Here is a 23,309-nt window from a genome sequence, read left to right as displayed (position 1 = left end):
ATATTTGAATATTACAAAATAATGAGTTTACAAAAACCTATATTTGACCAACGCAGATTGACTATCTTGCCAGACAGGTTTACATTTGATGCTAATATTATATCTGATGAAAAATAGACCATTTACTTACGCTTTTCTAATAAACAATATATAAATGTTTCTAAGTATATGTGAAAATAAACATTTCATATTTATATTAAAAGATTTGTGTTTTTGAGTAAAATATAAAGTCAACTAACCATTGTACATAAAAATATCTATTCCAAAATCTCATGTTATATAGTGTTAATAACTGAATACTTTAAATTTATTAATATGGATATCAATGCCTTATAAACTATTTTTTCCTTATCCTTTTTAAATATTGCATTGGACCTTTATGGTAACTAAATAATTACTTTGTTCTCATATGATTTCATTATATTCTCTCTATAGTTACCACTAATTGATCACAAATTGATTTTTTTGCAGAATTCTCATATTTTAAATGCTTTCCTGTACTAACACTTAATTTGTATCACTACAGACTAACTTTTTTCTTACATATATATTTCTTTTGATGTATTGCTTTTACAAAAAATCATAAGTTCCTTGATGTGTATTGATCATGTGTACACAATATTTTGCTCCTGCCTGAAGGACGTAGGGCAGGTGCGTTTGCTGACATGACTTGAGTCAAAGTCCAAGACAAATCTTAAAATTCATGATAATTGACCATTAAATTAGGGATCAGAATATTACAGCCTGCAGGCCAAATCTGATCTGATTTATTTTTAAGTTTTATAAGGTCCAACATCAAATTTAATTTTCTCTTTATGCATCCTGCTTTTGAGATCCATTCTAAGTGCTTTTTCCCTAATGCGGTATGTTGAACATATTTTCTTATGATTTTTTTTTTAAGCTTTAAAGTTGAATCTTGTTCATTAAATCCATGATACCTTTTGAGGTGTGAGATTTAGGTTGAGGTTTATTTTTCACCTATGGATGTCCAGTTGTGCCAGCAATATTTATTGAACAGGCTATCCTACCTTCAATGAATTGAATATTTGTCAAAAATCAGGTGGGGTTATCTACCTAGGACTCTTTCTGGGTTCTCTTTTCTCTTACACCCATCTATGTGCCTATCCCTCTGAAAATAACACACTGTAACATTAAGTAAATCTTAATATTAGCTGAAGTTATTCCTCCCACTTTATTCCCTGCCAAGATTGTTTTAACTCTTCTAGGGCTCAGATCTTTTGCATAAGTTTCAGAATAAGTGTGTTTATGTCTACAAAAACACTTGCCAGAATTTTGGTAGGAATCACATTAAATATAAGGATGAGTTTATGGATGATATGTCTCTCCATTTATTTAGATCTTCTTTAACTTCTTTCATCAACATTTTGTAAATCTCCTCATACATTCTCTATACATATGTTATATTTGCATAAGTATTTAATTTGCTTTGGGGCAATAACAAATAACATCTTGTTTTTAATTTTGATTCTGCCCTGTTTCTTATTATTATATGGAAGTATGCTTGCTTTTTTTTTGGTCTATTGATCCTACATCTTCCTACTTGGCTGAACTCATTTGCTAGTTCTAAAAGTTTTGCAGATTCTTTGGGGATTTTTTATTTAGACAATCATTTCATCTGTAAATAGAGAAAATATTATTTCTTACTTTCCAATCTCTATGTCTCCCTCCCCCACTTTGTTTCTGCTATCTTGCAGTGGCTAGAATTTCCAGTGCCAAGTTGAATAGGAATGTTGAAAGTAGACATCATTTTCTTGCGTCTGATCTGAGAGGAAATGCTCCAATCTTTTACCATTGTGTAATGTTAATTATTGATTGTTTATACACATTTTTACGAACTCGGCTCACTGCAACCTCCGCTTCCAAGGTTCAAGCAATTCTCCTCCCTCAGCCTCCCGAGCAGCTGGGATTACGAGTGCATGCCACCATGCCCGGCTAATTTTTGTATTTTAGTAGAGACTGGGTTTCACCATGTTGGCCAGGCTGGTCTTGAACTCCTGACCTCAGGTGATCTGCCTGCCACGGCCTCCCAAAGTGCTGGTATTACAGGAGTGAGCCACCATGCCTGGCCAGTAATTCCTCTTCATTCATAATTTCCTGAGGGTTTTTATTATAAATTAGGTACTGTGAAATGCCTTTTCTGTAGCAATTGAAACATTATAGAAATTTTCTTCTTTAGCCTATTGATAGGGGAGATTACATTGATAGATTTTTGAATGTTAAGCCAGTCTTGCAAATTTGAAATATGTACCATGTGATTATTTCATATGATTATTTTCATGTAGTTTTATTTAATTTGCTAATGTTTTGTTGAGGCTTTTACATCTAATTTCATGAGACATGCATGTCTGTACCTTTCTTTGTTGCACTGTCATTTTCTTGTATTGGGACTGAAGTAATACTGAACACAGAAAGCAAATTGGAAAAGACTCTCCCCTGCCTTATTTTCTGGAATAATTGATTAAAATTGGTAATTCTTTTAAAAGTGCATTTTAGAATTATCAACCACCACTTACTTTTCAAAACGAAGTTTGTTTGGAAAGCAAACAACATTCACTTGCATTTGCATATAGTGCATGGCTGCTTTCATGCTATGATGGCAGAGATGAATGGGTGCAACAAAAACTTTATTCCTCACAAATGCTAAAATATACACTACCCGGCCCTTTACAGAAAATCGTTTGCCATCCTCTGATTTAAACCATCTTTTTCTATCCAAAGTTTTACTATGCTGATCAAATTGATTTTCTTGCTTTTGGTCCTAACCTGTCTTCTGACGAAGTAAATGATCTGAGGCAAACAAAAGTAGAAAAGAAAATGAATAATTAGATAATTAGAATCCTCACAGCTCAGCAACAGGATAACTGAAAGCTAAATATTAACATAAGTTTATTATTTTGCTATCTGTAAAACCTCTTCAATAATTCCCCATTTCTGTTCTCTGATTTGATTTCATAAAAAGTTTTTCTCCCAATATCTCAAGAGACCATAACTTAGTGTCTTTTGATGTACATATAAAAATTAAAATTTGGAAGTGGACACTAAATTAAAGCTGAATCATCTAAACAGAGCACTTTCAGATTATTATTAATATGCTCCCACAAATACCCAATGATACTTACTAGAAAAATACTTTAATTCCATATCTGAATCCAGTAAACTAAAGCATCTTATTGTTGTTCTGCCCTTGGTGTGGGATCCAAGTTTCTTGTTTGTTCTCCTTTGGTGCTTTGTTCTCTATTCCCTAATGTGATTTTGTTACTGCAAATCTTTTCTCAACTGTCACATAAAATGGATTGGGCCAAGGTCCCTGAATCAGACAATTTCTCTGCCCGAACTTGCAACTTCAGCTTAACTTGTTCCAGTTGGCTCATTCATGCCTTGTGAGGCTCCACTCAAGATGATTAATTTTCATCCTTTTATCTATTTAGGCAAGAAGAACATTGTCCGTGGTCAAAAATTTTCATATTGACCCTGAAATCTCACTTTATTTTTTACCTATGCTCTTAAATCTTTCATATCCTCACATGTATATTTTCAATCTGGTTTTATTATGAACCTCATAATAAAACTCCAGAAGTTGCAGCCACTCATTCTCCTAATGTTAGTAATAGCGGGCTAGGAGGAGATGTATTCTAAGAAGAGAGAAAAGGGAAGATTGGCTATTAGCCAGTCAGGGAACGTTGATCAGAAAAACCTTCTCAAAGATAAATATTTTGGTAAAAGTTGGAAAAAAAAAATACAGCTTAAATTCTGTTCTAAACCTGAAGACACAGCTGTTTTATGTTATACACAGCAAAAAACAGCAATATATATAATGTGGGTCTTCCTTTGCCACACCACTTTTGCTATTATCTAAATGTGTTGTGAGAGTTTTTCAAAATTCTCCTAAAGAATATTATCTCTATGGACATGAATTTATAATGATGTCCATTTTGTTTGTGCTTTCTCTAGCAAAATGTTGCAGATACTTTTTCCCTATCAAGCTGAGAGTTTCACATACACAAAGAAAAGTCCCTTAGTCACCAATTCTTTGTCGCAACTGGTTTAATTAACACTTACATTGTTCACCAGTAGGTGTGCCACTCAAGTCACTGTTCAAAGGGTGGTGTCCTTATCGTACATATACATTTCATATACATGGGTATTTGATTTTATGTCCTATACCAGATGAGAAATAGCAAATTATAAGAATATAGAAGAGGTGTCTCACTTAAGTATAGTGGTCATAATGAGAAGTTAAAAGCTTGAAAGAAAAGATAGTAATAAAGACAAATACTCACACATTTCATGCATGTACTAACTCTCATACTTCAACATAGACACAAATGTACTCACACTGCACGTACAACTATAGACACCCATCCCAGTGCATACAAACTCTTTCTTACACACACACACACACACACACGAACCTCAATTACAGTACATACAGAATACGTAATTGTAATATACATACTACCCTACATCACAACATACATGGAAATAGTACATTCACCCTCTCTTCTGTTTTCTTTATCCTCCTTGAAAGCATCCTGCTCCCCCACACTCCCTGCTCTCTCCTGTCCTCTGCACCACAGTCCTGTCCTCCTCTCTGATATCTTCTCTATTGCATCAGCCATCCATACACACTTTCATCCCATTATTCACACACAAGTATAACCAAATACACACACATACAATTTAGTGAATGATGAATACTCTTACAAACTTCAAGGGTATCCCTTCAGGGGTATTATAGTATAAATTATATTTTGATAAGCTAATGATCCAGAGAAATTAAGTCATATTCACTCTATTTTATCTTAAAAGCATATTACTTCATATGTTTCAGGGAGATTCACATAATAATACTTCATACTTTTCAGGAAGATTCACATAATTATGACATAACAAAATATGGTAGCGATTAAAAATCTCGGCAAAATTTCAACTATGTGGAAAGGCACCTCTGTTAATATTTGTAATTTGCTGATGTATTATTCCCTGGACAACCATAGATCCTTACCTGCCGCTACAATAATTACATCATTTATATCTCAACTCCTACCTCCTATCATAAAGTGACTATATAATCCCCATTTTTGGCTATGAAAGTGAAAGCTATCTATAATTATGACTGAAAAACAGACATAACTAAGGACTCTCTAGGGAAAATTGTGATCGCTTTTCTTGTGCACAGCTCCATATACTCTATTTACTTCTTCACGTTCCAGTCTCTGTTGGGCCCACTCTAATATTGATAATGCCACCCTGACTCCATGAAAATTACTTGTATGATCCTCATCAAGGTCTTTATGAGACACATCTCTCAATTTGACTTCACAGTTGAATCCTGCATCATGAAACAGTCCTTTTTCATGGCTTCATGATACAACACTATGCTGCCTTTCTTTTTTCTTATTTTGTTTTGTTTTGTTTTTATTGTTGTTGGTTTTTGACAGGGTCTTATTCTATGGCCCATGCTGGAGTGCAGTGGTGCAATCCAGGCTCACTGCAACCTTTGCCTCCTGAGTTCAAGCGATTCTCCTGCCTCAGCCTCTAAAGTAGCTAGGATTACAGGCACCTGCCACCACACCCAGATTTTTTTTTTTTTTTTTTTTAGTAGAGATGGGGTTTCACCATGTCGGCCAGGCTGGTCTCAAACTCCTGACCTCAAGCGATCCACTCATCTTAGCTTCCCAAAGTGATTATACTGCCTTTCTTCTCCTTTCTAGATCACTGTCTCTAGACTCTTCTTTCTCTGCTTTGAACCTTCTTCCTAGACTACATTTTTGTTTCCTTGCCATATTTGTTCCTATGTTATGTCATTCAATTTTAGAGTTAAATATGACCCCTCAAATGCCAATGACCACCAAATTTATCTCTTTATCCCAGGAAGTCACTGAGCTCTAATTCTGTATGTCTACTTTCATTTGGATGTCTCACAGGCACCTCAAGTTTAATATGGCAGAACTAAACTTTGTTCCTGCTTTCTCCAGACCTCAGCTCTAAATGTGTCCCTTTTCCAGGGTTCTCTATCTCAGAAACACTTTCTGCTGCACCCACGCCAGAAGTTTCCTGTTACCCTGTCTCATCTCTATCTCATCTCTCATCAAATCCTGCCCATTTTATGTCAACAATGTCTCTCATTCCTTTCTCTCCATCTTCACCGCACTCCCCCGTCTGGTCTACAGTGGCCTCTGCCGCAAATGAAACACTCCTTTATACATTTCTATCCTTGTTCAGTTCCTAACAGTTAGCTGTGCTGCAGCCCAAGCAGTTGTTTAAAAAGGCAAATCATTCATGTATTTCACCAAATCAAAACCTTTAAGATCCCCAGAATGATTAAGACCTTCTAAATACTTTAGGTTTTGCATGATCTGGCTCATATTTTTCAGCCTAATTTTCAATTTACTGCCAAATCCCTGTTCATCACACCAGCTGTGTTTCCACTCCTTAAAATTCCCCTTTCTGTACCAGAACCTTCACACACACTGTTCTTTTTTAATATGCTTTCTTCCCTCTCTTTAATCTGATTAAACCTGTTTATTTTTCGGATCTCAATTCTCTTTATATCCCTGGTACAGATTAATTCTCAATTTATGCCTCTCAAACAGCATACACTTTTATTTTACCACATATATTAAAGTTGCAATTATATAGTTATTGAAATATGTTATTAAATGTCAGTTTCCCCTACTAAAGTTTCATGTCTATTATTTTCATCGTTATATAAATGTTTCATCACTGTATTATAAATATGTTATACATGTTTCATCATTATATTATAAATGTATAAATGTCTAGAATATAGAAAAAACTTAAGTACTGGTTGAATGATTGAGATTTGTAAAATCTGAATGTAAAACGTTTACTAATTAAACTGGACTCAGAATGTAAAAACAGATACAACCTATATTTTTCTCACTACACGTTCAAAATTGTTTTGTTGGATATTTCTTTCTCTCTTTATAAAATCTCAGGTATGCCCCATAGCTTGTTTTTTTTTTTAAACTTTATGTAATTAAAAATCCTCAAACCATTAAAAAAGGTAGTCCTCAATCAGTACATAGCTCCATGGCTTAATTCAATTTAAAATTTAAAATTTTTGAATTCCTATAATACGGGTTAATGCCAAGTTTGAAAGCCTGCAGTAGATGTGTTCAAAGTTAATGTATTCTCTTTTGCTTGATTCACATTTTTCTCTATTTCCTTCCTGCTTCTTTCCCGATCCCTCTAGGTCAGACCAAAGTGGAAGGAGATTAGAAAAATAGGGCCCAGAAAAGGTAGAGCCCCTGATGGAAACCGCCAACTGCAGATTCCCTGATGCTGGAAATGCCTCAACTCAGTTGGCATCTCCAGACTCCTTCTTAGCCCATGGGAATTCAGGGAGTCTACCATTCTGTTGAGGTCATATTGACCTTCCTGATATAGGGCATCCCCTTCTTCAGGACACGTACATCTTTGCTTTGCTAGGAGCAGAAGTGACACTTACTCTCAATGCATCCCTCTTTATTCTCTCACCAAGCAGGGTAAATGCAGCCACTGCCTTTTACTGTTGGACTTTGTAGGCATTAGGAAAATATGGCCACTTGTGTTTTCCAAACTTTAAAGGACTCGTCTAAAGCTTTCCATTCATTCCTTTCAAGATCCTTCCTTTTGGCTTAGAGCAATGGGAAGAAAACAACAACAACAACAAAAAACACTCTTTCATCAATGGATGAAGAAAGAGTAAATATAGCACATAAACAACTGTGTTCCAAGAAGTCCTAATTTCCTGGAAACTTCTGAAGGTAGAATGATGCTGGCCAAACTGCCTTTAGGATTTCTCAGCATGCTCTGCCTAAGTGGGCCATCCTCTTTAAAAATGTTGGTTTACGTATTACTCACTATACTCTCTCAACCTTGGGAGTTCAGTTGAAACCAATATAGCAAGAAGCCCATCTTAACATCTTTCTATATTTAATCTACCATGACTAAATCACCAGATTAAAAGGGAAACCTGGAGAAGTTTGTTTTTAATCTTATCTTGCAGATAATACTCAGGAATTGAATGGCAGTTTAATGCTCCTAATTCAAGATATTTTAAAGTCTTTTTTTTTTTTTTTTTTCTTTGAGACGGAGTCTTGCTCTGTTGCCCAGGCTGGAGTGCAGTGGCATGATCTCGGATCACTGCAAGCTCTGCCTCCTGGGTTCACGCCATTCTCCTGCCTCAGCCTCCTGAGTAGCTGGGACTACAGGTGCACGCCACCATGCCCGACTAATTTTTGTATTTTTAGTAGAGATGGGGTTTCACCGTGTTAGCCAGGATGGTCTCAATCTCCTGCCCTCGTGATCCACCCATCTCGGCCTCCCAAAGTGCTGGGATTACAGGCATAAGCCACCACGCCCGGCACCTTAAAGTCTCAATTCAACAATTTTGAATGCAAATGGACATTTGATTTTCCCAACACCATTTATTAAAGAGATTATACTCTCCCCATTGTGTATTCTTCACACCTTTGTCAACTATAATTGACTGTATATGCTTGGTATTACTTCTGGGCTCTCTATTCTGTTCCACTGATCTATATATCTATATTCATGCTAGTACCATTCTGTTTCCATTTCTGTAGCTTTGTCATATATTTTGAAATCAGGAAGTGTTATGTCTTCAGCTTTTTTTTTCTTTTTCAAGATTGCTTTAAAAATTTGAGGTATTTTGTAGGAACATATAAATTTTGTACTTTTTTTATTTCTGTAAAAACTGTCAGTGGAATTTTCGTAAGGTTTACATTGAATCTGTAGATTGCTTTGAGTATTAGAAACAGCATTAATTTAACAGCATTAATTATTCTAATTTATGGACATGGGATGTCTTTCCATTTATTTTTTTCTGCTTTAATTTCTTTCTTTCGTCAGTGTTTTATAGTTTTCAGTGTAGAACTCTTTCACTCTTTTTGTTAATTTTTTTTTGCTATTTTATTTTATGTTATTGAACACAGGATTGTTTTCCTAATTTATTTTTTGAATAGTTTATTGTTAGTGTATAGAAACATAACTTACTATCTTTCATTGTTGATTTTGTATGCTGCAACTTTACTGAATTTATTAGCTCTAACAATTTTTGTGTGTGTGAAGTTATTAAGGTTTTTTATATAAAAGATTATATCACCCATAACCAGAGATAATTTTACTTCCTCCTTTCTAATTTGGATGCTTTTCATTTCTTTCTCTTTTTTAATTTCTAAATTGATGCATTTATTTATTTATTTAGACAGCCTGCCAGCTTGTTAGTTACTGTTCTTGTCACTGAAAACTTTTCCATGATTATGTCCAGTCATTCTGGACATAAGTATAGAGTTACATGAACTCTATACTTCAAAAAGTCATTTTCTTTTGATGAGTTAGAATGTAAAATGAAGGAAAAAATTAGAGTGAGATTTGGAGGGATATGCTGATTTAATAAGTGTTTTCTTTCTTATTTGCCTATTAGGTGTTTATATATGAGAGGGAATTTAATAGACTTAGAAGCTATAAGAAGAACTGATTCATAGATGCTGGTAAACCATGAGAATAAATAACCTATGTTCTAGAGGATAACACCTTTTCATATGCACTGACATAAGAAAGGACTGAAAAAACAGGGACAGGGATACACCTAGAATAGAAGGAATACTTTTTCATTTGAGACCACAGGAAAGGTTATAATTTTGAAGACAGGTAATTACAGCTTTATAGATCAGTGAAGAGTAGGGGGTAGTGAAGTGATTTTCACTCTTGACAACTTCATTTTATTCTCTTCGAATTTAGAGGCAATATCATCACTTGATGGAATGTGTGGGTTATGGTTTGTTAAAGAAAAATTTCTCAGAAAAATTGATCTTGAGCACATTTCAAAGTATATTAGCTTGTTAATAAAGGAACTCACAGGAAGGTAATAGACTGTCAGGTCAAAGCAGTTTTGGGGAGAAGAATTTTACATATCATAAATGAGAAATATTTATATAACTAGTTAGGTTGCTAAGGGCATTTGCTGGTTTATTTCACATATTTTCTAAATCAGTTATAACTAGAAAATTACCCTTACTTTATTAGTTGTCATGAGTTAAATTTTAGAGCCAGTTCTCTTTGTTGTCAGTCATGAATCACTACTCAAAAATAACGAGTCATGTAGCTGAGAAGTAGACAATTCACAATTGACCTGATTGTTAATCAGATCAAGTCAGAAGGGCCTACTCTATTTCAAGAACATATTTAGCACAGAGGTAACAAGTGATGTCAAACAGAGATTGATTAGAAAGACAGTCACTATTGAATTTCTCCAGCATGTATCCAAATATACCGATTACACAATGTTCTTATTTTTTGGTTTTGCAATTTTTTTTCTTTCTTTTTGGTTCCTTCTTTTAGGGTACACAACCATAGATGTTTCTTGGCATGATCATACAAATTTTTGTTTAAAGTTTATGCTAAAGCCATTACAAAAATGTCTTGCTTAATTACTTTCTGAAATTCTAGAATGCAATGGTAAGTTAAAATATGCTCATCTAATTCGATATGATTACAATCACCGTTAAGAGCAGCATATTTACAAATATGATATTATTCCTAAACTCAATATCTGATATTGAGAAATGATTTCCAGTTAAAATTCTAAGATTTAATATGAGACTGAAAGACAGGAGGTGAGAATGGATACAGAAAAATAGCTTTATAGGCAAATAAATGCTGGGGTGATATCTCACAAATGCCACTTCTGATACTTTTTTTTGTCTATTGAGTTTGGAGACAATGTCATGAGTTAATGGGATACAAGACTTGTGGGATAAAGACATAAAGAGAATGATAAGATTTAACTTGTCCTGGAGAAATATTAGTATTTGCCTATTTTTATTATATTTTCCAATAGTATTTTCCCACTGGGCATCTGCTGAGAGATGATGGACCTTGATCTTGATGTTTTAATTGAATGGGACTTACAGGTCATTCCTCTTGGGACTGGGAAGTTCATTTTGCCTCTGAAAGAAAGCATACATGGCTATTTGGTGACAAAAGGGTAGACTCTGTCAGTCATTAATACACTTAGTCAACTATTTCCAGCACTGCATCTTCCAGGCTCATTGTAATTGCAGTTCTGGCCTCCCTTGTGTTTGGCTGTGGCCATATAACTAATATTACACAAGGAATTATGAACAGAAAAGATGTGAGTCTCCTGGTAGAACATTTAACTGCTTTTCCCTTCTTCACTCTGCTCAAGCAACATTCCAGAGAGTACCTGGATCTTGGAGGACAGCGTGCAGCAGATCTCCTCAGTGAACTAGCAACAAACGTGCTGCACGAACAAGAAATAAACCTTTGTTTTTAAAATCCATTGAAGTTTTGAGAGTTGCTTTCACCAGAGCATACTCTACCTCATCTTGACCTATTCAGGCCTATTTAGTGACTGTGGAAGTGGGTATGAGCTTTACTGGTAAAATCTGAATCTACTCTCTCTGGTGAAGTCTACTAAAACTAGTAAACATAACAGTATAAAATGAAATTTAGTTGAACATCCTCTATGTCTGTTACTGTCAGGAAGTTCAGATTTTAAAAGAAAAAAACACATGCTAGGAGTATGAATATATAATCAGCAGATGCCCAGTCATCCCCACAGGAAATTATTTCTGTAATTAACTATCTATTACAACTTGTAGATTGGGTGTATGTATGAGCAGCAGTGACTTGCTGTTAACAGGGAAGTGTGACTCTTCTTGATCTGCAAGCACATAAATCAAATATTTTAGAATGGTTTTAGATATAAAGAAAAATTAAGGTAATACCAAGAGTTCCCTTAAACTTCACACCCAGTTTCCCCTACTATATCTTAGTAAGTACGATGCATTTGTCACCATTAATGAAACAATAGTGATACAATGTTAACTAAAATATATTCTTTATTCGTATTCCTTTACTTTTTACCTAGTATCCATTTTCTGTTCTATAGTTCCATTTAGCATACTACATTATATCTAGTCATTACGTCTTCCTATTTCCTTCTTGACTGTGACAATTTCTCAGAATTTCCTTGTTTTTGATGACCTTGGCAGTTTTGAGCAGGACTGATCTGGTATTTTTCAGAATTTCCTTCAATTGTTATATTTCTGATGTTTTTATCATGATTAGAAGGGGCTTATAGATTTTGGTAAGAAGACTTCAGAGGCAGAAGACTAGTCTTATCACATCTTCTTAATTTGACTTTTGTTGGATTCACGGGAGTTGTTTAGCTTTCCACAATAGATCCTGAACATTTTTGTTAGATTTATATCCAATTGCTTCATTTGTAGGGGTCATATTGTAAATGGTACATTTTTAATATTTCAAATTCCAATTGTTTATTACTGGTATATAGGAACACAATTAATTTTGCACATCAATCTCATATCCTGTGACCTTGCTATGCTCACTTATGACTATAATTCATATCATCCCTCTTCTAAATTACTAATAGAAATTAAATTTCAAAGAATGATTTTAATCTTTCTTCCCAGATGTTGTTTGGTCAAGTCTTTGGGATTTTCTTTGCATTGGGTCATGTCATCTGTGAACATAGAGAGTTTTATTTCTTCCTTTCCATATACCTTTAATTCCTTTTCTCATCTTATTGCATCAGCTAAGACTTCCAGTATGTTGTTGAATAGGAGTGGTGTGGACATCCTTGTCATGTTCCCAATCTTAGGGACAAAGTCATGAGTGGTTGTGGGGGTTGGTCAGATGCTTTCGTTGCGTCAGTTCATATGCTGGAGACTGTTAATTGTGGTAATAAGATAAGCAAGAGAGAGAATTCTATAATCTTCCAAAGAAATATCAGAGTTTGAATGAGCCTGTGATTTGGGAATCTGACCTGCAGTGTCCCCAATAAATTTCTGCAAAGCTCTGACCCCCGTTGATGATGTTGTTTTCCTCTTTATGTGAGACAGAAAGTCTAGAGGGGACAGAAGTGGGAGAAATACCCTCTCCCAGCTCTGCTGTTTATATTTTCCCTGGAAAACATGCTTTTCCTATGGAGAACGATCTTGGTTTGTTTAAAATAATTATTCTTCATCTCTTTATTGCAGATCTGGGAGTGGATTATTTGTATGTTTATTGCGAAAATCTGGTGGAGTACCTAAGGCAAATCCCACAAAAGTATGGGAGTACAGCTAAGACTGTGGCCTCTAAAGGCTCTCTTGTAATCTGGCACCCTACTCAGCTCCCAGAAATTCATCAAAATTACCACAAGTGTCCCTACTAGTTTACAGTGCCAGCTGCTTCAGCTCTAAGTAAGCAGTTTTCAGCTAAGGCTCTGTGAATGTGCCTGTTTCCCAGAATTTATGTGGTTGTTTGCCCCACAACCTCATTTCTCTGATGGATACAAGAAAAGTCAATGATTTTCAGTTTGTGAGGCTTTTACTTATTCAAGGATGAGAGGGATGCTAGAACTAAAATTGAGATTCATTTATCATAATTCTCTTAGTCTACAAATAAAATGTGTTTTCCCATTTCTTCCTGGGATCAGAGCCTTTTTCTCAGTCTGCTTCTTGCCAATAGAATATTAGAAATAAAATCATCATTTCCAGTTTCACAGGGCCACAGACACAGACATTCTAATTTACTTTTGGATCTCTTTCTCCGTATAATATTCTTAAGAACTTGGTAGGCTGCTTAATTATTTGAATAGTGTCTTTCCATCAATAACATTTCAGACATACTTCTTGCATTTGCTATATTTCTTGTATATTAGTTATGAATCTTAGGAAAAGCAGAACCAATAGGAGGGAGATGTGTGTGTGTGTCTCTCTCTCTCGCACACACACACACACACACACACACACACACACACAGAGAGAGTATTAATTGGCTCATGAGATCATGGGGTCTGGCAAGTTTGAAATCTGTAAAGCAGGTCAGGAGGCTGGAAATTCAGGGACCAGTTGATATTACAGTCTTGAGTCTGAAATTTGCAGGTTGCAAACTCAGGAGTAGTTTTTATGTTGCAGCCTTGAGGCCCAGTTACTTCTTCTTCAGGAAATCTCAGTCTTTACTTTTAAGGCCTTTAACTGATTAGATGAGGCCAACCCACACTGTAGAGAATAATCTGCTTTACTCAAAGTATACTGATTTAAATGTTAATCACATCTAAAAACATCTTTACAGTAACATCTAGACTAGTGTTTGAGCAAAATACTGGGCACTATAGCCTAGCCAAGTTGACACTAAAATTTAATCATTACGCTTTGCTTCTGTGTCTCTCCTCTCCCCTCATCTTCCTTTCAACTTACTTGTGACTTCTTTGCCATTGTTCAAGTGCTACACCCTTACTCTCTTATACTTGATCCATTTTGTCCAATTTTTAGGGTTAATGGGCACCACTTTAATCCAATCCAAAATGTTTACCAATGGAGTGAAAGAAATATTGATTTAATCATTTCTGTATGCAGAGTTTTAATAAACTGTGTTATTTAATTTTAAGTGTTGCTCTCTGGAGGTGAGAAGCAGTTGGTTCCTCCAAATACTCATGTCCACAAATTTATAGCTTTTTCTTATTCCTCAATCATTTCTGCTTAAAAATCATTCAATTCCATCCTGGCTAACATGGTGAGACCCCGTCTGTACTAAAAATACAAAAAAAAATTAGCCAGGCGTGGTGGCGGGCGCCTGTAGTCCCAGCTACTCGGGAGGCTAAGGCAGGAAAATGGCGTGAACCCGGGAGGCGGAGCTTGCAGTGAGCCAAGATTGCACCACTGCACTCCAGCCTGGACAACAGAGCGAGACTCCATCTCAAAAAAAAAAAAAAAAAATCATTCAATTCATTTTTAATCAATACCTTCCTCACACTACCTTGCTATATATATCCAATGGAATTTACCACATGCTAATAATCTATTTTCCTTAGTATTACAAAGTTATCAAATGCCTGATGCCTTTGACACATGTTTCTCTGTTATATATACATACATGACTAATGCTCCATCCACCTCCAATAGTTGCATCTTGACTGCCTCTGCCACATACATTATTTTCTAACTTTGGAGTTTTTTTTTTTTTTTTTTTTTTTGGTAGTTGTTGTCATTGGTACCTCAGTGCCCTCTTCTTGTACCAATTCTTGTATTAGTCAGTATAGGTTAGGTTATGCCATATGTTACAGCTGAATCTTCCCTGCCACGGTTTAGAGGCCTGCTTGTCTCTATGGCAGAGGGAGTAGCATTTTGAATAAGGCATATGGCAGCAGTTACGTACTGTGGCTCAGAAGTAACATCCATAATTTCTCTTATCCACTCACTGGAAGGGTGAGTCACACGGTCTTTCCCAAACACAATGGTTCTAAAATGTACAATGCTATTCAGCACCTGGAAGGCACAATGCCAGAATGTTACCAAAACAGCAATAATGAACACTATAAGTCTTATCATGCCTGCTGTAAGTTACTAAAGGAAATTAAGTCCCCAAGAATGATTTTAATCTTTCAACATAATTATTTGGTAAATGTTATGAACTGAAATGTGTTCTCCCACAATTCAGGGGTTAAGACTCTAACCCCCAATACGACTGTATTGGGAAAGGGAACCTCTAGGGAGATAAATAAGATGAACAAACATCATAGGCTGGGGCCCTAATTCAATAGGACCCTGTGTCCTTGCAAGGAGAGGAAGAGATGAGACACTAGAAGGGCACACACTGCGGAAAGGCCATGCAAGGACACTGGCAGCTGTCTGTAAGCCAAGGGGAGAGGCCTCAGGAGCAAGCAGCCCTGCCAGCATCTGCCTTGATCTTGGACTTCCAGTCTCAAGAACTGTAAGAAAATAAATTTCTGTTGTTTTAGCCGCTCAGCCTGTGGTATTTTGTTATGGTCACCAAAGCCAACTGACATAGTAAACTTGGTAAATTTTATAAATTATTTGGTACATATATTTAGAATAAACTATTCGATATATCAGCCTCCCAGAGATGTATCATATTATAAATTTATCTAGGGAAACCTGTAACTAAGCATGAAATATACAGCCTCATTGTTTAGCTGAATTATCCAAAGGACTACAGCAAAATGCCAGTATTTGTGTGAGTTAGGTGGCATTATAAAACCAATCTAATGTAATGTAACTTTCAATAATCACAGTAATGGTCTATTTTCAAAAAATCTAATTTTTAGGAAAAGATTTAGAAAGCTCTGTACATGAATATATATTGAAATATGATTTAAAGGACTCAAATGTATGCTTTAACCTATATGCTATACTAAATTGATATATACTTGAAAATACTTTAGCTTAGGGCTTTCATTGCTAAATATGTGAATTTATATTGCCACCAATTTTTGAACTTTTAGAATAGAGAAAACGTTCTTTATAAACGTATTTTTGGTTTTTAAATAAATTCAATGTGTTCTACTATGTAAAAGATTTTTTCCAACACAGGCTGTGTTGAAATGTGTTCTACTATGTAAAAGATTTTTTTCAACACAGCCTGTGTTGAAATGTGTTCTACTACGTAAAAGATTTTTTTCAACACAGCCTGTGTTGAAACGTGTTCTACTATGTAAAAGACTTTTTTAAACACAGCCTAGTGAATGTAAAGCATTTTCTATTTCAGTGTTATGTTTAAAACTTTTTATCATTAAAAACATTTGTTTTAAGTCAGTATCAGGAGATGAATCTTAGTTTAAATACCGCATTTATATATAGAAATTACACTTCAAAACTATCTTTCTATATCTGCTATACCATAAGCCATGTGTACACATGGGTCATAACTTGGAAACATTTAGATGCCTTAGAGGCTATCCTATTATGCTATCCACTCATTACCAGCTAGCAGGAACTTCGACCATTTAAATGAACCCTCATTAGACTGCTTTCTTTTGCACCTTCCTAATCTACAATAGTTTAATAACAATAATAGCAGTCATGCTATTAATTCTGATAAAGCAGCTAATATTTCTTGGGCATTTTCTATAAACTAGGCCCAGTGCTAAGCACTTTACGTTAATTAATTCCCTTAATCTTATCAAAAACTATATGAGCCAGGTGTAATTACCAGCATCCTGTTACATAAAAGAAAATGGAAGCCAGTGGTGTTCATGTAAATTTTCTGAGATTAAACATGTAGAATGTGGATTTCGGATTGGAACAGAAGCAGCTCATTTCATGATTCCCGTTCTTAGAAAATTATGTATTTGTTCTCGGCCGAGTGCAGTGGCTCACGCCTGTAATCCCAGCACTTTGGGAGGCAGAGGCGGGTGGATCATGAGGTCAGGAGATGAGACCTGCTGGCTAACACGGTGAAACCGCGTCTCTACTAAAAAAACAAAAAAAAGAAAAATTAGCCGGGCGTGGTGGTGGGCGCCTGTAGTCCCAGCTACTCGGGAGGCTGAGGTGGCAGAATGGCGTGAACCCGGGAGGCAGAGCTTGCAGTGAGCCAAGACTGCGCCACTTCACTCCAGCCTGGGCGACAGAGCAAGACTCCGTCTTAAGAAAAAAAAAAAAAAAAGAAAAAGAAAATTATGTATTTATTCCCAAATTTAGTGTGTCCACATGTCACTGGGGAGTTTGGTTTGGTTACATTGTCAAGCTTTACCCATGGAGACTGTGATCCAGAAGGTTCGGACTCACAGACCGCTCATCTTTGGAGCTACAGTTGAACAACAACTGCAAGATGCTGGACGGCTCTCTAAAATGGTAGATTCTCACTTCCAAATGAAGGTGATTTGGTTCGGATGTTTGTCTGTTCCAGATCTCATCTTGAAATGTCAGTGATTCTCAGTGTTTGAGGTGGGGCCTGGTGGGAGATGTCTGGGTCACCGTGGCGAATCCTCCATGAATGGCTTGGTGCTGTCCTCGCTATAACGAGTGAGTTCTCGTTCTTAGTTCACAAGAGCTCTGGTTGTTTAAAAGAGGGTGGCAACTCTTCCCTCTCTTGCTGCTGCTTCTGCCATGTCACATGCTGGCTCCCTGTTGTCTACCACCATGATTATCAGCTTCACCAAGTCTCACCAGAAGCAGATGACAGCTCCACGCTTGCTGTACAGCGAGCAGAACCATGAGCCAATTAAACCCCTTTTCTTTAGAAATTACCTAGCATCGGGTATTTATAGCAACATGAGAATGGACTGACACCGAAGGTTTGAAAATTCTACACAATTATAGTGTGGTAGACTGAATAGTGTCCCCCAAGGATGTCAGCATCTTAACTGCTATAACTGGTGAATGTCACATTTTTTGGCAAAGACTTCACTGGTGTGATTCATCAGTTAAGAATTTTGAACTGGCGATATTATCCTGAGTTTCCTAGCTGGGTTCTAAATGTAATTATAGGTGTCCTTATAAGTGGGAGACAAAGGGTGATTTCACACAGATAAGGAAAAATCAATGTGACCAAGGAGACAGAGATTGGAGGGATGCAACCGTAAACCAAAGAATGCCAGGAGCCACCAGAATATGCAAGAAGCAAGAAAGGATTCTCTTCTAGATCCTCGGAGGGAGCATGGCCTTCAGACACCTGGACTTCAGATTTTGGACTTCTGGCCTCCAGAACTGTAAGATAATAGATTTATGCCACCAAATTTGTGCTAATTGGTTACAGCAGCCAATGAATTTGCTCTTTGCTTCTGCAATCAGTGAAAATTTAACATGCCTTCAAGTTCACCTTTGGAATATCTATAAATAAAAGCTTTGCTTCTCAGCCTAGTATTTGTAGGTGCTGGGTTCTAGCTCGCTGAGTGTAGATGGGTTGACAGAACTAGCAGATAAAATTACAGGCTGTTCAGTTAAATTTGAATTTTGAATTAGCAATGGATAACATTTTACTTAAAATTTAAACTTAACTGGACATTCTGTGTTTTTCTGGCATGTGAATGTAAGTTGGAAAAGAAGCAAGTGTTTTTGTAAATCAAAACTGGTATCAGGGCTCAGACCCATGCTACTGATTTCATAGCCCAGTAAAAATCTAACTCACTTTATATTTTAGAAAGATGGAACAAACAAGCTCTGATGAAATAAAACTGACTGTATTTCCTGGCTCTCATGCAAAAAAAAAATAGTAAAAACTACATAAGTAAAAGAGAGAGTAAGTGAATGGAAGAAATGCAGGAGGTGCCCTGTACCCTGTTAGACTGAAGCTGTGGCCCAGGCGTCTGCTCTCCTCACTTGAAGATGTCAGAGAATCTCTATCACTTTAGAGTGAGGGTAACAAAGCCTGAAGCTGGCCTTACATAGATTTTTTAGGAAATTCAAAGCAAATGAGACTCTCCATTATTATCAGCCTTCAGGATACTAATTAATAACAAGCAGCCACATTTCTTGGACCCAAACAACAAGCAACTTCTGACAAGAAAAATAAATGATTGCCCTGGGCCCAGTCTGGTCCAAGGAGGAGAGTAAATGTCTGGTAGGCATGTTAGGATTGTGGCAAAACTTTAATTCACACACATTATTACTCAACACTCAACAAATCAGAGTTGTTATTCAACCCCATCCATCACTGAAGAAAGTGACTTTTTATTTTATGGAGCAAGAGTGCATTGGACCAAAACTGTCCAAAATTTACCTATGAAGTTATCATGTAACACATAAATTTAGCACAAACCTGGAACTGCAAATAAATGTGTGAAAATTCTAACACATTAATAACTTTTTTTGTGAGACTCAACCAGAATAGAACCTACAGAAACTGTTCCACTTTGAGTTTCAGTAAAATATTTTAATATGCTTGAACTTCATATTAATTTATGTGAATTTACAGGCATCTTCAATTAAAAATTGAACTTACATGTATACTGAGTTGGAGAATATCTATATCTATTAAGTCTTTTTGAAAAATTGGAGTTTGATAGTGTATCTGCCTGTGATCAAATATAAATAATGACAATAGTCCCCAAGAGGAAGGAGCATTAAAACAAGATTTTAAATAATACAGAAAGGCTATATTTAACTATGTTTTTTATTCTTATGGCTGTTTACTTTTCTTGGGTGTTTATTAGATCCTGAATGTTTTATGCTAAGGGATTCTTCAATATTCCCTTGGGGAAAATTATTTTTATTTTTGAGAGATTTCTTTTTACATAGTTGTGCTCAAATGATGCTGGGAAGAGATTTTCTGGACTTGTTTATTTGGAGCAAATTCCTTGATACATGAGCAGAAAGTCAATTTGTATTTTTATTTTTTAAATACGAAACTAGGCCAGGTACAGTGGCTCAGACCTGTAATCCCAGCATTTTGGGAGGACCAGGCAGGAGGATTGCCTGAGCCAAGGAGTTCAAAGTTACAGTGAGCTATGATTGCACCACTGCACTCGTCTGAGCAACAGAGTGAGACCCTATATCTAAAAAAAAAATAAAAAAAAGGTTAAAAATAAATACTTCTACATTCAGAAACCATACTCAAGTTCAAAAACATATTTGGCATCTGAACACAGGATACACTAAAGTTATTAAAAGGAAATAAGTTTAATAAGCTTAATTAGTTAATAATCATAATTAAAAGTTTAATAAAATATCATAGGGAGGTAAAAGGAATTTAGTTAAAATTAAAATACCAACCTGAACTTACAATTATTTGACTGAGTTTTAATTCTTCTTAGCCACTGTAGTGTTTTTTTTTTTATTTAAGTTGTAGCATAATTTACAAACAGTAAAATGCACAAAACATAAGAAACATCTCAAGTATATTTGCAGATATGCACTCTTGTGTAAGCCCTTCTGGATACTAGGCTTTTTAAAAGCTTCTTTCCATTAAGTGTAGGGGGATGGTATAAAATTTATTCTCTATTACTATTCTCTGCATGAAGGAATTAGGGATCCTCAGAATATTAACTGATTTCATGTCTTGAGTCAGGAAGAAACAAAACCAAATAAAGCAAACTTTTTTCTTGGAGTAGTGAGAAAAACATGTGCTTTCAGAGGTGCCCCAATATAATGATAAAGGATAAAAAGTTTGCCTAATGAGAGGGCCAACTACATCCACATGGGGATAACTCCAGGATCAATAAGAAAATATTAATTCCAGTTTATTGGAAACAAGTGAGCCTGGAAGTTCAGAAGTGTTGCTCAACATAATGTATGCTAGGGCAAAGCCACACATACTAATACCAATGAGACATCCAGCTCCCCCTGAAAGGGAGGGAGCTGAAGGACTGTGGAATTGATTGATTTTGCTGATGCTGCACCTTTCCTCTCTTGAGTGATTCAAACAGCTATTGTAGCAATACAGATAAGTCTGTATTTGGTATTTGCTTGAAATGTGTGTATTAGGAAGGAAAAGAAGGATAGACTTGCTAAGCTGTTACTGAAACACCAAGGGTTCAATCTAGGTCTTGCTTGCCACACAGAAAGCCAATCACTGAGACAACAAGTATTAGTTGGGTGCTGCAGCTGAGGAGATGGGAGATCAGTCTCAATTCCAGCTCTCTGACTAACTAAAATTAGGGATTTATATAGAAGGGAAGAAATGTAACCATGTGTAGAAAAACAGGAATTAGAGAAGGGTAGGGAAGACAAATTGGTTAACAGGAAGCAAGTGGTTGGTTAGACAGTCATGATGGGTGAGGAGTCTGGTGTCTCATTGTCCAGATGCAGGGATCTTGTAAGTTGCAGCTTCTTGTTACTATCTGGCAGACCTGGTGCTTGGTTTCCTGAGAGAGGGACTTAGATAAGACAAATGTAACTTTCTCAAGTGTTAAGACTGTGAGGATTAATTTCTATGTTTATTCAAAGAAACCATAAGCATCAGCTCTGTAGGAGATTGGGTGGGTTTCAAAGCTAATGCTGCTGAGGGGTTACTAAGTCTTGCTCCTACAGTAAATGAGGGACTCTAAAACTTAGTCTTATTTAGGATTTTCAGATCCCAGGATGTCTGAAATTGCTTTCTGATTCATCTCTGCCTGCTGTGTTTTCACTGACGTGTGCTGAAATTGGTGCACACAGATTACTCAAAAAATAATAAAACAATTAGGTAAATACTAACAAGATAAGATGTTCTGGTGTTCTGACAGTTACAGAAATTTCAGTGGCTTTACAACAGTGAGAAAGTAATACTCAACTTACAATAGGGTTCATCCCAACAAATGCATCATAAGTTGAAAAGTTGGTGTTCTAAATACTTACATTAAAGGAATTGTAGTCTTAACCTATTTATTGCCATCTTTCAATAAATTTTATCACACTTGCTTCAACCACCTAGCAAGCTATGGTAAGTTCCCTACAGAGAAGAGATATCTCTTACAGGTGACTTTCAATCTAAGAAAAGGAATGGGAATTTACTAGATGGTTTCAAACATTTAAGAAGATACATTGTTGCTCCAGAAACCAATAAATAATTAAAATCAATTACTTTGAAACTGTATTGAAATTAAGTTTTTTTTTTAATAATCAGAGACACAATTTAAATAAAAATCTAATAGCTATAGAGATGTAAGGTTTATAACCCTTCCTCTATAAGGATGTAACATAATCTATGGAATTAATATTATAATTGGTAAAGTGAGGTAAATGACGCAAGTACTTACATACTTTATACCCATTCATCATATATGCAACCCATGAAATAAGCATTGCCATAATTAATCAATTCTAAGACACTTTTGTTTTACATTTTAATGTCTCTGCTGCCAGAATTATTTTTTTTACAATCATGACATCTCATGATTTTTGTTAGCTAGATGACAACTCTGGTTTAGATGTTATTGCCTATACATGCAGGAACATTAAAAACTGCCAGTATAAAAACTTCAGATTCAGTAGCAGAAGATTGAGGGAAACCTCAGGACAGTGGAGTACTTTCTTATGTCTGAATGATGATGAATATAGGAAGAGCAATGGGATGATTCAGGACTTTTAAACCATTTTCCTAGAACAGGATTCAAAAGTAGATTGGTTGTATATAATATCAAAGGTAGGATAAAAATCAGGCATCAATAACTTTCAGTTCTTTTATGTATTATGATAAGAAATACTGAATCACCAATCTTTTTGATGACCCAGAGAACTATATTGTGCAGAATAAAACAGATGTGCATGAATTCTGAATCCAAAAGTGATATAGAAAAGTCAGATGTTGAAAATGGAGAAGTTTCACAGATCCTTTGACAAACTTATTTATCTTATATTTTTATTTTATGCATGCATAAAAATTATATATGTCTATATCCAATAAACAACTAAATCGATAAATATAAAATTATCATAAGTGAAAAGCAGTGAATCATATTTTATCTGCAAGATCTTTTTTTTTTCTTAGTGGCACAAAAAAAATGGTATGTCATGATTATTGTCCTTATGTTAAAGATGAGAAAGGTGAAGCCTGGGGTAGACTTATTTTGC

This window comes from Homo sapiens, chromosome 18, assembly GCF_000001405.40.
Source record: "Homo sapiens chromosome 18, GRCh38.p14 Primary Assembly".
Taxonomy (NCBI): domain Eukaryota; kingdom Metazoa; phylum Chordata; class Mammalia; order Primates; family Hominidae; genus Homo; species Homo sapiens.
The sequence above is the reverse complement of the archived record's forward strand: the minus strand, read 5'-3'. Positions refer to the sequence as shown.